Source organism: Homo sapiens, chromosome 12 (genome assembly GCF_000001405.40).
Source record: "Homo sapiens chromosome 12, GRCh38.p14 Primary Assembly".
Lineage (NCBI taxonomy): Eukaryota > Metazoa > Chordata > Mammalia > Primates > Hominidae > Homo > Homo sapiens.
This window is the reverse complement of record NC_000012.12, coordinates 26,710,943-26,725,608: the sequence shown is the minus strand read 5'-3', so window position 1 is coordinate 26,725,608 and position 14,666 is coordinate 26,710,943. Positions and strand designations below refer to the sequence as shown.

The 14,666-nt window shown below is 36.4% G+C and overlaps 1 protein-coding gene across 8 annotated transcripts in view; it reads left to right on the top strand.

The window, feature by feature from the left end:
• Positions 1-14,666, top strand: part of ITPR2 (inositol 1,4,5-trisphosphate receptor type 2) — a 497,843-nt gene that overhangs the window by 107,586 nt on the left and 375,591 nt on the right. For all 8 annotated transcript variants that reach the window (XR_001748686.3, XR_001748687.2, NM_001414174.1 and 5 more), the window contains 6 exons: positions 867-953; positions 3,054-3,212; positions 9,367-9,465; positions 9,774-9,857; positions 10,164-10,310; positions 14,341-14,436. Coding sequence is in view for 6 of the 8 variants with exons in the window: in NM_001414174.1 (NP_001401103.1) it covers positions 867-953; positions 3,054-3,212; positions 9,367-9,465; positions 9,774-9,857; positions 10,164-10,310; positions 14,341-14,436 (672 nt within the window). In the remaining 2 variants the exon portion in view is untranslated. The remainder of the gene's footprint in view (positions 1-866; positions 954-3,053; positions 3,213-9,366; positions 9,466-9,773; positions 9,858-10,163; positions 10,311-14,340; positions 14,437-14,666) is intronic.

Genomic DNA, 14,666 nt, shown 5'->3' with positions numbered 1-14,666 from the left:
GTACAGCAATAATAAAAATGTATTTAGAGCTTTCTAGCTTTGTCCTTTCACCCAAAACACAGAGATTTAGAATACATATAGCAACACATTGAAAGTAGAAGGGCTTTTCAAGTAATAGGGTGTGACCATCTATTTCCTGGCATGTAGGTAGCACATTACTGCTGCTGTTTTTTAGGGTGTGCCAGACTAATTCAAAGCTTCCCATCAAAATGAAAACCAATTCAGAATCTCTGTAAGAATATTAAATCCAGTTATATTTTACTTGACATAATCCTTGATATTTTTCCTGAAAGAAACTATGGAGAAAAATAATTGAAAGACCATTGTTTATGGTTTGTCTGAGTGTAAATTCGATAGAACTTAATTTTGCCTCATTAAAATTCCTGGTACTTTCAGAATTAAGAACTTTTATTTTTGAGACTTTGGAAATTCTACTATTATCCTGGTTGGTTTTTCTAGCAATATACCTTCTTAAAGTAATTTTAAAAGAACAAAGAGCCTAGTACTTTTCTGAAATGTCCAACATAAAAGTGGCCCAAGACATGTTGGAGGGCATTTCAGCATACATTGACAAATCATCACACTATATTATAATCATTTATTTAATTACTGCTCCCTTTGGGGAGTCATCCACTCCCCAAGTTTCCAAATACTTGGATGAATATGACGTGAAAATCTGAAAGACAATATGATATGATGGAAACATAAAGCAAAACAAAACACCTAAACTAAGATTACAGTCCTGACTCTACTACTAGCCTATTTTATTCCTGGCTATAGTCTTGTTCCTAAAAAAAATTTCTTTGTCAGTTATTACACTCTGTTTACTATATTTCTACACTGAATATTTGATAATCATCTTATAGCACGCTGCAGAACTGGAACAAAAACAAAATGAATCGGAGAATAAGAAACTGTTGGGAGAAATTGTAAAATACAGTAATGTTATACAAGTAAGTATTTTCTCTTAAACGAGGTGAGTATTTTATGTGGAGTTTGTCAGTAAGTTGGCAGGAAAGCCAAACTGCGTTAAAATTTTGAGATACAGGAAGTTTGTTCTTTGATGGGAATTATCGATGTTGTGACGTATTGTGATGTATTCATTTGATATGTGCTGCACTATTCTGTATGTTTAAGAATAAATCTGATTTTACACATAAAGAAGTGATCTTATCTGGATGTATACACAAGTTATTACATCAAAAAGAAGAGGGTCAGGAAACAATTTCTAAAGGCCTGTTCTGAAATAGTCCTTTAGATTAATGGGACTGTGTTTAACATATGGAGCTTAGCTTTTCATTTTGTGAAGAGAGAAAAGTTTTCACTTTCAGTTGGAAGTCATCCTTGAATTGTTATTAGAAGGTCTTCTATTTCTATTAGTATGCACACACTGTTTTATCTCAGCTGCATTCCTTTCCTGTGTTTCACTTAGATCTTTTTAGCTTCTTACTTGGTTATTTGTTAATATATGCCCCACCTTTTTCAAAAAAGAATGTAAGGCACTTTCCAAAATACAGAGCTACATAGTGAGATAAAATACAAATAAATAAAGCAATTGGTCACAGGGAAAATCATGGTTGGATGAATAAATTGAAATCGGGGTAAGGCATGTTTATAAAAACCATGTTGTAAAGTCTGGTAAATTTTGACTTGAAGGCTTTTTCTTGCCCTCTTAGCCATAGGGAAGCATAGTCTGTTACATCGTTGGCTAGGAGATCCGCAGCACAGAGCCAAATCAGAGGTCTAGAAGCACAACTGTTCCCAGGAATAGGACCAGGGAAGTGTTTCTCCTATGTGTGCTCATAAAGAGGACACTGTGTAATATAGTAAACAATAGCCTTGACAGCTTCCTTACAGTAAATGCTACAATGAGGCATTTCATAGAGCTGTCTTTTAAAATAATATCCCTGATATTTTGTTACTGGCCAATGGCAAAATGCCAGAACACAGGGCAGTCAAAGCAGTGCACTGTTGGGATAAGATGAGAGAAGCTGGGTCGGCAGCTCCCTGAATGTATGACTTAATCGAATGATGGATAATGTGAAACCTGCAACCTGAGTGGGCTGGATGTCCCTGGGGCAATCCTTCATAAATAGAGTTTCTCTTAACCAAGTTTCGGTTAAATGTCAGCAAGTGGAACTTATGTTTCTTGTCAAGTACCCGAAGCGCAGGTGTTAGCTTGGTCATTGAGGGGCTGAGCCATGTTCTTGAACATGGTGGATCCCAAAGTCCAGCCCATGAGGGTTTCCATTGCTTTGTGGTAACATAAGGACCCAAGAGTATGATAATGAGCATTTTAAAATGCTGATTTTTTTTCAATTAAAGAACCGTACTTTATTTTGAGATAATTTCTTACTTATATTGTGAGTACTAAAATGACCATTGTTTTTTGAAATGATTGTAATAATAGATGGAAAGGTTATTTTGTTTTGGTTTTGCTACTCAGTAGAATCATGTTTTTGTAAGATTTTGTTCACAAAGTCCAAAAAAATCTGAGAAGTGATGCTTTTACACTCATCTGGGAGGGGGTAGGGTCAGCATCCCCTGGCAGAAGGTGTAGAAGCCTATTTAGGATGAGCAGCTGCCTCCTTACAGAGGAAGAATCAGGGCTGACTGTGGGCAGGGCTGGTTAATAATAGTAAGTGGGTTGGTGCATTATTTGAGTTTCTTGGCCTTTCTTTAGTATATTCTGTTTTTGTGGCTATGCAGGCATTGAGAAAGGATGTGGTTTTGGGGAAACTCAAGGTCTCCTTTGGAAAACCTAGTTTTAGCCATTATTTATCAGTAGATGAAAATCACTCGGAGGGGTCCCCTGTTTTTTTTTCCCTATTATGCCGACTTCATTATGAAGCAGAATTGGGGTGAAGGGGAGGAAGAACCCAAAGAAAGTCAAGTAGGAAAGATGGTGAGTGTGGAGGCTGAAAATACTCCTTTGTTTAATTTTCATCTCAAGCCATGTTAGATGAATATATGATACATGTATAAAACATATGAATGTAATTAACAGAGGAGAACAAAGAATAAAGGTGGTAATCTATGTCTTTTCCCTATAGCTACTGCATATAAAAAGCAACAAATATCTTACTGTCAACAAGAGATTACCTGCTTTACTGGAGAAGAATGCCATGCGTGTGTCCTTGGATGCTGCAGGAAATGAAGGGTCTTGGTTTTATATTCATCCGTTCTGGAAACTGAGAAGCGAGGGTGACAATGTATGTAATATACAATTAAGAGGGAAATAGTGGGTTCATAAAGAAAATGATTCCTAATAAGTAAGATAATCCAGAAAGTACAAAAAAGAAAATATAGTTTTTACTCAATACCTGATTTTTATGTTAGTATCTACTAGGTTAAACATGTTTATTTATAGTACAAATTGTGCTCAGAAGTCATAAGACAAAGTTCAGATTAATTTAAAATCTTCCAGCTAGAATTTGTATGAAAGAACTTAAGCAACCTTAATATTGGCTGAGACTTTTAAAAGAGAAGGAGAATTTACTTTTTTGCCTAATTAGGAGGAAGCTTGGTCATAAGGAAAAAGAGCTGTGTTTAGGAAATAGTGTGTGCCCTTTGAATTAATGGAGTGACACCGTGATTCATGACAGGATTCCATTTACTGGCTGTATGCCAGCTGCTGACAGTCTATAAGTCTTAATAGAGATGGAGTAGAGGAGCTGAAGGTTGGCATCTGCTCATTGATGACAACTATGTTTACAATATGTTGTGGACTAGTTGGGGCACTGAGGCAGGAGAATCACTTGAGCCCACGGGTTCAAGACCAGCCTGGGCAACATAGCAAGACCTTGTTTCTAAAAAAAAAATTTTTTTAATGTTGTGGAATATGTGTGTATTGCACATAAATTTTAGTAGTTGCTGAAATATTTTCTGCTACTTTATAAAATAGAGAATAAATTATGAGAAATAGTCAATAGGATCTAGAGTGTGATATTTTTGCATGTAATAAATAAAATACTGCGTGATAGTCCTTAGCACATGGACGATGCTCAGGAAATGCTGCTAGACACTGAGCGCTGAATAAGTTTCATAAATACCTGCAAGTATTGCATCAGGGGATCAATAGTTAAGATTTAAAAAAATTAACATGAATTCGAAGCAATATAAAAGTATAATTATTCTGAGAGAGTTTTTTCAGTTGAAACTTTGATTACATTTTAAATGTGTTTTGGATATTTCTTGTCTTAGGAATGTCTTTATCGTGAATCTAATTTTTCCAGTGAATTTTGAAATACAAATTCAATTCCACAGGATGCAAGCTTCTGGATTTAATTTGGTTAATAAATTATCTGGTGATATCTTCCTTTGGTAAGGTTTGGTAGAAGCATGGCATGCAGGAATGTGATGCACTTTAAGTCTTGTGTTGGTTGGATTTCTTAAAAAAAAAACCCTACTTTTTTTTCTTTTGACATCAGGTGATGTGTGCTGTGAGCATGATACACATTTTAGTTTCATTAAATAGTTCATTACAATCAACTCTCAATTGTTCAGGGACTGATTATGTAGTTTATGAACAACCTGTGCCTTTGAGGCTCTTTCTTGCAATGCTTGTTCCCATCCCCAGCCCTCCACTGAATAGTATCCCTGTCTACAGGAGGTCCATGAAAATTAAATATGAAAACAAACAAAACCTGAGCTCAAGCTCGGAAGGAATGTGATGAAATAATTGAATGAATTGGAGTTTTTAAATTAGCCGTGGATTATATTAATTCATCCTATCTGCTTATTTATTCATTTTATCTATTCTTTTCCTTGCTGCCTTTACACAGTCAACAGAGAGTTGAATGTAATGAACTATTTCAAATAATTAGTTGTACTGGAAAACCAAAACAAAACAAAACCTACCACCCAAACACTCAATCTTGGTGAAAATGGACAATGTAATTGTTAAGTGCAATACAGGAGTTCTTATCTGGATGTGCTTCAGAAAGCATGGCTGAAACAACTTTCCACACTGCTTTTTGCTGAAACAGCTCACCGTTTTTGTTTGCCACTGTGTAGCTTTTGTGTGTAATTAAGGTTGCTGAAAGCATAAGCACACCCACAACCCTATATTGGTCACATAAATAATTGTATTGTAATACTCGTTTTTTTCCCTAAAATAGGTAGCGTATTTCTAAAATATAAACCGACTGTGTGGAAGGCAATTGGAAATACGGTCACTTCATAACCAGTGGTTCAACTACTACTGATTTTCTTTAAAAACACATTAAATTAGAAAAAGGAAATTGCAATGTTTAGAGGACTTTTAAAATGATATTTTACTATTTAACAATAGATGAGGTTTTAAGATGATATTTTAAGATGAGGTTTTAACATCCAACAAGATGTTCTGTTACCCAAATGAAATGCAATAAATAGGCTGACGATAGTCTGGGAGAAAGGAAACCCTATCTTCAAAAGGTAATAGTTCCTATTACTTAAGGGCAACTTTATGATATAGCTTATGGAATTGTGGGATGGATGGTTTTGGGGAAGAAATAGACTCATGGATCCCTGTACTTTCAGCTGTATACAAAGCCCTTGGTTGCAGTTGAACTGCAAAGTCACTAGGGACAGCTATGAGCAGAGAACATAAATATTTCATTTTTCTTTCCTTATTTTTTTATCTTTATGTATCTTCCCATGGTTGAATAGTTAATTTTTCATTTTCAATTTTGATCTAAGAAAACTTGGGTTCTTTACTTTTATGGTAGATTTTAAAAGGGAATAAAGGTCAGATATTCTTTAAATGAAGAGAAAATTTTAACTCTTGAAAAAAGAAACTCTTCAAACAGCAAGTAGACTTTGCGTTTTAGAAAAAGTGTGTGCCCACCAGGGACTGTTGTGGGGTGGGGAGAGCGGGGAGGGATAGCATTAGGAGATATACCTAATGCTAAATGACGAGTTAATGGGTGCAGCACACCAACATGACACATGTATACATATGTAACAAACCTGCACGTTGTGCACATGTACCCTAAAACTTAAAGTGTAATAAAAAAAAGTGTTGAATTTCTAGCTGCGGTGGAACTAGAACCCTGGCGTTTAGATTCCTATTGTGATGTTCTTTTCACCATACCAGGTGCCACTTCAAAAGAAGGGTAGCTGCTAGTGATGTTATATCCCTCTTTATTTTCAGCGAAATCTCAGCTTGAATCTTACATGGCTCTTACATAGAATCAACAGAAGTGCTTTTGGAATTGCAATTTATAAAAAACATGTTTGTGTACTAGAGTGAATGTGATGGCTTATCCTAGGATGTGGCAGAAAATGACTTCACCCTCAAGTTCTATATTAAATACATAGCTTCTCAGAAAGCACCTGACCCCATCTGTGAATCACGTCCTGAGCTTCACTATTTTGAAAATATTACCATATTTCATATTTGCTAAGTTATCTAATTAGGTATGAATTCTGTGAGAATAGGGACTATTTCTTAGACCTTTTTGTTTTCTCCCTGGAACTTCTTAATATTCTTTTTATTTCACATGATTGGTAGTTTATCCATTTCACTTGCAAGTTTTATTCAGCTTGGTTAGGCAAGGTAATCATTGTCAAGAATAAGAATGAGGATCTGAAAATTACTGAATTAATGTTAGATTCTACTTATGAATACCATTTTTTAATGAACCACTGGAAGCTGTTTCACAGATACCAAGGAACATTTTGGCTATATGATTGGTCTCTTAATATATACAATGTTAGGCTGGGCACAGTGGTTCACGCCTATGTAATCCTTTGGGAGGCTGAGGCAGGTGAATCACCTGAGGTTAGGAGTTCGAAACCAGCCTGACCAACGTAGTGAAACCCCGTATCTACTAAAAATACAAAAATTAGCTGGGTGTGATGGTGCACACACGTGTGATCCCAGCTACTTGGGAGGCTGAGGCAAGAGAATCGCTTGAACCTGGGAAGCAGAGGTTGCAGTGAGTTGAGATTGTGCCACTGTACTCCAGCCTGGGTGACAGAGCGAGACCCCATCTCAAAAAACAGAAAAAACTATATATATATACACACACACATATATATATACTATATATATGCACATATTTGTATATATTATATATTTAAGTCTATATATATATTTAAAACCTTATATATATATACAGTTTTATGGGTGGTATTTTGAAGTAAATATACGGATTGACCCAAAGCTTACAGACAACTATAGTAAAATAGCAAGACTTAGAGCAGCGAATGTAGGTGCAACCAAAAGTATTCTTGAATTGGAAGGACATAGTTAAAATATGTCATTATATTTAGTAACTTATTGGCTAGGATTTATATGGCACAGATGAGAATCAAATAGTAAACCAAATCCAGTTGTTCTTTAAGAAATTGGAAGTTGAGAACACATGGACACAGAGAGGGGAACAACACACACCAGAGCCTGTCAGGGGGTGGGGGGTGAGGGGAGGGAACTTAGAGGACGGGTCAATAGGTGCAGTAAGCCATCAGGGCACATGTATACCTATGTAACAAACCTGCACGTTCTGCACATGTATTCTGTTTTGTTTTTTTGTTTTTGTTTTTGTTTTTTAGAAGAAATAAAGAAAAAAATGTAATTGGAAGAACAGATGCAGCACTGGCAAAATGTGGCATCAAGCTCCCAGTACTTTAGAGTATGGATGATGACTCAGGCCTCTACATGGCTCTGTGACTTGGAGCTGCCTTGCTGTCATGTGCAACAGCACGTGTTTTCCTAGGGAGAATGGGGATTGGGAATATGCTTATGTCATGTTGACTTTCATTTGTTTTTGCTCATAATTTAATTTTTAAAAGGGATACCAATTCATGGTTCAAAGATAGAAAACAATGTAAAGATATATTGTGAAAAATCTCTCTTCTACTCTTTTTATTCCATCTGTCCGATTTCTACTCTTCTTCTTCCTCAGGTATGCACTGGAGAGATTTATTTATGCAGATCCTCCTATTCCCTCCCTCACATTTGTACACGAATGATAGCATACTACATGCCTTGCTCTGCCTATTCATCTTTTCACTTAATACTGCTCCTTAATGATCTTTCCTTAACTGTATATAGAGAGCTTCTATGATGAATCTTTGTGAGTTACAGCATCTGACTTCTTATGGACGTGATGAGTAGAGACCAGTCCTGTAAACAGCAGGAGTTGTTTCCACAAACCAAAGCACAACCTTTCTTTGTTTGGTTGGTGAGCTTGAGGCTTCTCTATTATATTTCAATCGCCAGATATAGTTTGTGACAACAGTACCATATGTGAGCATGGACTCCTCCGTATCATCCATATGAGGATATCTGATATTGAAAATATGAAATTATGTTTTTTAAAGTTTGGGCTTAGATTAAGATACACTACATGGAGAAGTTCTGTTTATTCATATCGACTGAATCCTGATTTGTTTTATCATTTATCTATCAAACTAATTTATTCTAATATTTACTTGGTATAAAATATACAAAGGGAGGGTTTTGGTTTTCATTTTTGAGACAGTGATCAATTCTTTAAGTGAGATTTTATTTACTATAATAATATGTCTTCTAAATAAATTCAGCAATGTAAGTAACTTTAATAATGGAAATTAAACTGTTCATTGTTATCATGAAGAAAGGATAACTTTGATTCCCCACAATTTGAGTTATGAATAAAAATACTTAAAGAGAAGGTGGATATTGCTACAATAACATACATTAAAAAATCAATTAGAGTTACTTCTGTAGAGCACTTTTCCAAGAATCAATTTTAGTTTTTATTTAAAAATGAACATCAGGTTTAAGGAGCAATATTAGTTTAATATATTTAAGATATGAGTGAATCGGATGCCCAAGGCTCAAACACAAAACATATTTCTACAAGGTCATACCTAATTCTGCATTTCCTGAATCGAGCTGACATTAGAATTTTTAATACACTTCTGAGACTATGGGAAGATCAAATTTACTCATCTCTTATAAAAGATAATACAAGTGTATAACATTTTCTGCTTGCTTTTGCAGTGGTTCTAATATTTGGATAGATTACTTTTTTGTGGTGACAGATGCATTTACTCTTTCTGTTGTGCTTATGGCATAAGACCTCGTGGGGAGGGATAATGGCCTATTTATTGACTTTAAGGAAGCTCTAACTGAAATGGGAGATGAATATGAAAAAGATCCACACTAGCTTTATGAATCCAGACTGATAGGCACTATGGGACATGGTTATATGATCATTTATTAGAAGATATTTTACCTCAAAGAGAAAAAGGATTGTATGAAAATTTGTGTGAAGGATAAAAGGACCAGATGTCAGATCAATAATGGGGACTCCTGTGCAGTTATTTCTAGCTTCGAATATAGCACCAAAGATCCATGCAGTGTCTCAATTGTGATTTATTTCTGCTTCCTAGATTGTTGTAGGAGATAAAGTTGTTTTGATGCCTGTGAATGCAGGGCAGCCACTACATGCCAGCAACATAGAGCTTCTTGATAACCCAGGGTGTAAAGAGGTAAGTTCAAGTGGAAAAGGAATGAATGTGTTCATTTTTCTCATGAGACAGAGGGAGAAAAAAGTAATATAGTTTCTTTCATTGTTTTCATGAGCATAATCCCAGTTATTCTAATTAATATCCCTAAGGTACATATAGCTGTGATTAGTTATTGCTATTTTTGGATGGTCTCTCAAAGATACTTGTATTGAGCTATATACTTCATTATCCAAAATTGTCTTTAATTTCCTTTTACTAGTTGAACTAATAATTTCTGGTAGAGAATGGAATCTGTAGTCTTATAACTTTGAACGTTTCTTCATTAATAGGTGAATGCTGTCAATTGCAACACCAGCTGGAAAATCACTTTATTCATGAAATATAGTTCCTATCGAGAGGATGTATTAAAAGGAGTAAGTATGTGCTACACAGGACATTTGCTGGGAGAAATGATGGTAGTCTTACTGAAATTCTAGATGCAAAACCTATGTATTCACTGGTGTTCATAATTTAGAATGTGACTACACATGTTAATACTTACTCTAAGTGTTTTACTGAATTTCCCCCCCACATTTTTAAATGTTTAAATAAGCATTAAATAAATTTAAATAAGCTTTAAAAGTCAAATAGCTAGTAGAAGGGCCCAGAGTAGCAAAACCAGAAAGAGACACCTGCTTCTCACATCTGTTTGTTCAGATGTCTCTTGACCTTTTTGCTAGGGGGACGTTGTTAGATTATTTCATGCGGAACAAGAGAAGTTTTTGACTTGTGATGAATATGAGAAAAAACAGCACATTTTCCTTCGTACGACCTTGCGCCAATCAGCTACTTCTGCTACTAGTTCTAAAGCACTCTGGGAAATAGAGGTATGTAAATGTTTTTTGGCACTTAATAAATATTTAGATCAAAAAGAGAAGATTCACTGGGCTTGTTGTTTTATTGTTATAGGCATCATTTATGATAGAATCATAAAATAGAATAATTTTTGTGAACCAACTTGTGCCTATTCATTGCTGTGACCAATTTGAAAGGAAACTGTTTCCTAAGCCTGTCTTCTCTGTGGTAGCTCTCATTTTCTCTCTCTCCTTCTCTGTCAAGTGCACACACACACACACATTTACAAAAGGTACATTACGATCTTACTTTTAACAAATCAATTGTGAAATGTCAAGACTAGTTAGACTGAAGACCATGTGACTCAAATGGCACTGGAGTCAAGATGGAGTAGGATGCCTCACTTTGAGGAAGGTTGAGGCCAGAACTACTCAGTCCCTGAGGAGAACAATGTTTATTTCTTCTGTAGATGCCATTTCTATTGGAATCAGGAGACCCATAGTTAAGAATTCATTCATCTTTTTAAAAGTATCACTTAAATGTGGAACATGGTAGAGTAATTAAGGAAATGTAATCTATGGATTTTTCCTTAAAGGATCTTTTTATATGTGGAGGAGATAAGATCTACAGAATTGCCTATGAACAAGAGATTTACTAAACATCTAAACCACTAGCGGTGATTCTCAACCATTTCAAATTCTTCACCTGCCCCCAATTTTAAAACATATATTTTGTGACACTCCCTTTAATATTCTAAAATGAAATTTATAGGTAATATTATTTATATACTAATAGGTAGAATTAGTATAATGCTCAAATTCTAACATAAAGAATAAATAAAAGGAAAATACTTTATAATAAAATAATATGTATTTCAACATGAGAATGACTATCTAAAAGATACAATATTTATGCCCATCTTGGATGGATATGTTTGGATTTGAGAGAAGTGGTTAAAGAAGTGGATCAGAAGACAGCCCATACAAGTACAGGAAAATGAAAAAGCAAAGGTAAATGTGGGCCCTTGAATGATAACCAGTGTTAGGAGACGTAATAACGGAACAAACTGAAAAACGGAGAGATAACCATAATCAAAGTAGGGATAATACTTTAGGCAAATTACCGACGAGATGCAGAAAATGAGGAAGTAAGATGCCTCTGCAAATGAGCTGAGCCTTATTTATAAATATGACACTAAAAAAGAACTAAGTTTATGACATGGTTTAGAATCGAGATGAAATAGTACAAAAGAACTTATCTTCTATCTTGAAACTCCACAACATATTGAGGAATAATTTCAGTCGCTAGCATGCAGATGGACTTTGGAGACCACAACCATCAACAGGTGATGGAACTGAGAAGCTCTGGGGAAAACAGCTATGACTAAAGCTAATAATACACGAGGCTGCATGAAACACCTCCCAGAAGTCTACCTCATTCATAAGAGCAAAACTGAAAAATAACAGGCAATCCTAAAATAAATACATAATTAAAGCATGCATTTTCACACCATAAAGTTCTTAATATTTTGCTGTTTTTAAAAATTAAAAAAATATAGAGGTAGCAATAAGATGAGATATTATTTAAAACTCTGTTAATGAAATACAGTGAGTTACCTGCATTTGATGTGTCTCTGCTTATTTAATATTGGTTCTGAGTCTGTTAAAAGGAGTTTTGAAAATTCTCTCATATTTTTGCTTTTAGTTTTATAGCTTTTGCTGTAACTGTACTACTGCAGTGAACCCTTTCCATCAAAATGCATAGTTGGAAATGCTGTGACACATTGACCAGAATAGGGAGCGAATAAATTGTTTAATAATTTTGAGATGTCTTTACTTCATTTAAACGTCCCTCACCGTAATGAATTTCATATAACTTGATGTAAAATGTTTTTATCTGCTGATGTACTAAAGTATTGCCAGTTTATATCGGTGGTAGGCTTATTTCTATTTGAGATTTGAGGGACTTTTCTCTATTGTGTGCTGTCACAGTTGGGCTTTGTGAGGAAGCCTGAGGACTGTGCTTACCCAGCATGGGCATCAGGTGTTTCAAGGAAGAGGGAAATTACGTTCAACATGATTGGAAGGGCTGGGGAGGAAATGTGGAGTGGGGGACATGGGCTTATCTGAATGCAGATAAGCAATGCAATGACTGCTCCTCCTCTGAGCCTGCAGGCCTCTGCTCACATGCTGAGGGGTCCTTACCCACGCACCTTGTAGGAGCGGGCACTAGTCAGCTGCTCCCACTGTTACTGCAGCCCAAAGAGGAGTCTCTCTTCTACTGTCCTCTGCTTTCCATTCTAACGGGAATGTCCTCAGAGCCCCGCTGGGTGAGGCTTTCAGCCCCTGTGATGCAGGGGAGCACTTAGCAGGGTGGGGCTGGTCCTGAGGGCCACACACAGTGTTGATCACATTCTGGAATTCCCTGTAAATTGCAGCATAGATAATATCTTGGTCACTGCATATTAAATGCCAATAGCATCCCTCCAAAATCATTGTGATAAACAAAAACACCCTCCCTTCCAAATCTCTAGAATATCCCCTCTAGGGAGCCGTACTGCCCTTGCCAGACCCACTGATGTATAGGAGAGTAGTTCTTAGTCTGGGATCTTCAGATCATTTGTTAACCTTAGCATTTATATACAAACCACAAAATTGTGTGTGTGTGTGTGTGTGTGTGTGTGTGTGTGTGTGTGTATTTGAGACAAACATTAGATTTTATCACATTCTCGCAGATATCTCTGCCTCCCTCAAAGGTTTAAGAGTTCAAACACTGACAAGATCACAGTGGCCAGTGTGATTAGCAAAGGATTTGTGGAAGAAATGTGATGTGAGAATTTGAAGGATAGGTGGGCTTTTGGCCACAGAGGGAGTGTTTTGTAAGACCTCAAGGACTTTGAAGTATTTTCATAATTATTATCTTATCTGAGTTATGAGAGTATGGGAAGACAGTTGCTGGAGTCTAGCAAAAGGCATTAGCAAGTGAAGTATGTTAACACACAGAATTCGTGGTTGCAGCAGGAGCCAAAGGGTGGTCAGTACTAGCAAAAAGAACGTAATGTGCTGAGGGAGAGTCATGAAAGTTATCCTAGCATTGTGATATGCCTTATGATATTTCATCTTCACAACAATCCTGTGAATCAACCCATTTTGTACACGAAGAAATAAGGCTCAAAGATGTTAAATTCCTTTCTGTGGTCATACCCCAGTAATTGGTGGACCTGAGACTCACATGCCTGAATTGGAGTGTAAAACCCGAGCTTTTCTGCTGCCCATCCCGCCTGTCATAACCAGGTGTGTCAGAGCTTCTACTGCATTCATTCCCAGTGAGCCTAGGGGCTCAGCATCTGGGCAAGGTCAATTCAGAGACAGGTATCAAAAGACATGCTGTCAATAAAAAGCATGCATGGAAAGGGCTAAGAATTAAGTAGTTTAGACCTTAGGCCTTGACGTTTGTGATTCTCTCTTCCAATCTACGTGGCTGTCTTTCTCATCCTCCAGGTTTCAGCTCACATGACATCTCAAAGTGGCCCATACTCATGATGGTCATATCTAAAGTTGCCTTCCCTAGTTACTCAATCATGTACTTCCCCTGTGTTGTTTCTGGCACTTGTCAAATCTTACTTATTTCTTTGTTCGCTGGCTCTCTCTTTTCCATTAGAATGGAAGCTCTAGCTTTATCCACTGCTGTGTTTCTCTTCTCTTGAAGGTACTTGGCACATAGTGGGCTCTTAATGCAAGCTGCCAAGTAAATGTTTGAAAAACAAAGGGAAGAAAATCTCAGTATTTCCACTTTGGTCTTGGAAACATGTCTTTCTGAGTAAAGCTGTGTTTGCAGATGTAAGGCACAAGTGTCATGCATGCACGAGTTAACAACTGTTATAACATTTCTCTTGCTCATTTATGGGGAATTTTGTTTTTCTGCCACATTATGCTCTCATGGAAACATATATTAGGTTTGACAGATCAGTATTAACAGGAGGGCAGGCATGTAAACTGTTGGTGTTTGCTTGCCAGGAACATAAATATTGTTTTGCCATTACTATCGTTGCTCTCTTTGTAGGTGGTTCATCATGACCCATGCCGTGGGGGTGCAGGACAGTGGAACAGCTTGTTCAGATTTAAGCATCTTGCAACTGGAAACTATTTAGCTGCAGAGGTAAGACTAATGGATAAAGTGGTATTAAGTTTCTGACTCTGAATTAGTGAAAGAGGCAGTTGGGTTCGCCACAAGACATCGTATTTGCAGGAACAGTCATTACACAAATTTGATTGTTGCCTCTAGTATTCTGGATTGGCATATAAATTATTTTTAAAATGTAAATGTTAGTCAAAGTATTACAAATTAAGACAACAACGATAATAACAACAAAAACTCTGCAGTTGTTT